The 2,018-nt window shown below is 41.7% G+C and overlaps 1 annotated feature.

Moving 5' to 3' along the window:
* Positions 1,517 to 2,018: an enhancer, noted in NCBI's record as "NANOG hESC enhancer chr2:150080194-150080695 (GRCh37/hg19 assembly coordinates)". NCBI's record gives its function as "activates a minimal SCP1, AML or CMV promoter by ChIP-STARR-seq in primed H9 embryonic stem cells {active_cell/tissue: H9 hESC(primed)}" and the evidence as "EXISTENCE:reporter gene assay evidence [ECO:0000049][PMID:30033119]".

The following is a 2,018-nucleotide window of genomic DNA, read 5'->3' as shown; positions in this document are numbered from 1 at the left end:
ACATTATTTATGGTAACATAAGCAGTTGGTTGGAAGAATGCCCAGGGACCTTGGCATCATAGGTACTTAAATAAATCAAATGATCCAGAAAACCAGGATTATGTGAGACCTCCACTTGAACTGCCAGCTACTCCATACCCATTGGCAAATCCAAAGGGCAGGGAGGACCCTCATCTATTACAAGGGAGAGCAGGGCCAGGGAGAATGAGGGAGCCCAGCCAGGCATGCCCAGTGTTTAACGACATGGAGACCTTGTAATATCATGGTAGGGGGCAGAAAGAGAGCATGCCCTCTGGAAATAAGAAATGGTGATGAGAGCATTTCCAGTGCAAACTTGGCTTTGAGAATCCAGGCTGTTCCTCAGGACCTTGTCCTGAAGCTCCACTAAAGCATACTTGCATTTTTAATCAGGTTTTGGCTTTTATTATTTCTATCATTTTACTAAATACCTTTACCCCTGTGGCTTGATTTTTTTTAAAATGTGGTTATCTTGCAGTCTCAAATGTTTCTCAGAAATTTGCCCCTAGGATACATAAATTCTACTTGAATATTAAAGAAATACAACCTTACCATCAAAAAATTCAGGATAAAGACCAAAAGATCTAATTGAATATTGACCACATAAAAGCTATCTTGTTTATTCCTTACTTTCATATTCTTTCTTAAAGCAAATTTAAGCAATCTAGCCAGTTTTTCATTAGACAGATCTTCCAGCAAGATCAGCAGGAAATTAGAAATGCTGCATTAGGATATTTAGATCATAAGTCTCCAAAACTGGAACCACATCTGTCTGCTGGTTCAATGAAGGCTTGGAAAAACCAATTAATATTACATCAGCATAACAGAAACCCCAGCAAATATGCAGTGAGTTACGACTCGAATGCATCCAAGACGGACTGCACTGCCTCAAGAGTTAATTAGTCACTGTACATATAAATAATCTCACATGTTCTAATTCTCTATCCCAGGCAGGGTAACCCCGGACTTGCAGCCTCTTGCTCCATTTCATGACTAGGTGTTGATTTTACCCTTGTATAAAGATAGGGCCACAGGCCAGAGCAATGGAACAAAGAGCATTCCCCACCAGTACTTATCTTCAAAGTTTCAAGTCACTGAAAATCTGATAGCTGGCAAGTCACGGTCTTATTACTTGAAATTCAAATGCTGATAGAATAAATTTGAAGATAGGAAAGGTTTGAGTATGGAAATGAAAAGAGAGATCAAGAGAGAAAGGTGTTTCCACATTGCCACATTTAGCTTTAAAAAGTCCCTCAAGGGTGTGTCCCCACATATTATTTGGGGTGCTGGCCAATCACAATACCTAACCTGCCCACAGCCACTTTTAAAGGAAATTGCCCACCTAGCTGCTGTAGGCAACACCAGGGACCCATACCCCCTCGACTGTAAGCCATGCTATTATCCCTGCTATTGGACCACAGTTTCCTGGAGCAGAGGCAGCCAGCTTCTAGGCTGGACAGGGTCCTCTGTGGGAGCCTAGAGTGGAAATGACTTCCAAAACAAGAAAGTGCAGAGCAAATCAAATTATGCAGTAGGAACAAATGCAGAAAGAGTGTAAGACAAAAAAGTGACAAGTGCCAAAAAAGCCAGAGTCATGAGGGATTTGAACATCTGAATAAGCAGAAGCTACATCACAGAAAGAGGGTCAGGGAGCCAGTTCCTGGGAGGAGGGATAAAATGAGAAGACACCAAAAGGAAGTATAATTGGAAAGTCACATTAAAGATACTGCAGTAGAGAGAAGATCCAAGCTCTTCTGCTTTATAAGGGTCTTGAATCCCAGTGGGCCTTTAGTTCTAGTCTCAGAGAGAACTGGCTAAACCACATTCTGTTCTGCCCAGGAGGCCTGGTTTCTACATTGCCTTGTAGCTGAGAGACTCGCTTTCTTTTTTCCCCACATATAAAAACTAAGACTCAGATAAGCTGGGCTAATGCTTTTCTGGTGGGCATATTAAAGTCTCCTTATATAACAAGCATCAAGGACAGTGTAGGAACACTCCAG

Source organism: Homo sapiens, chromosome 2 (genome assembly GCF_000001405.40).
Source record: "Homo sapiens chromosome 2, GRCh38.p14 Primary Assembly".
NCBI classification, from domain to species: Eukaryota; Metazoa; Chordata; class Mammalia; order Primates; family Hominidae; genus Homo; species Homo sapiens.
The sequence above is the reverse complement of the archived record's forward strand: the minus strand, read 5'-3'. Positions and strand labels throughout refer to the sequence as shown.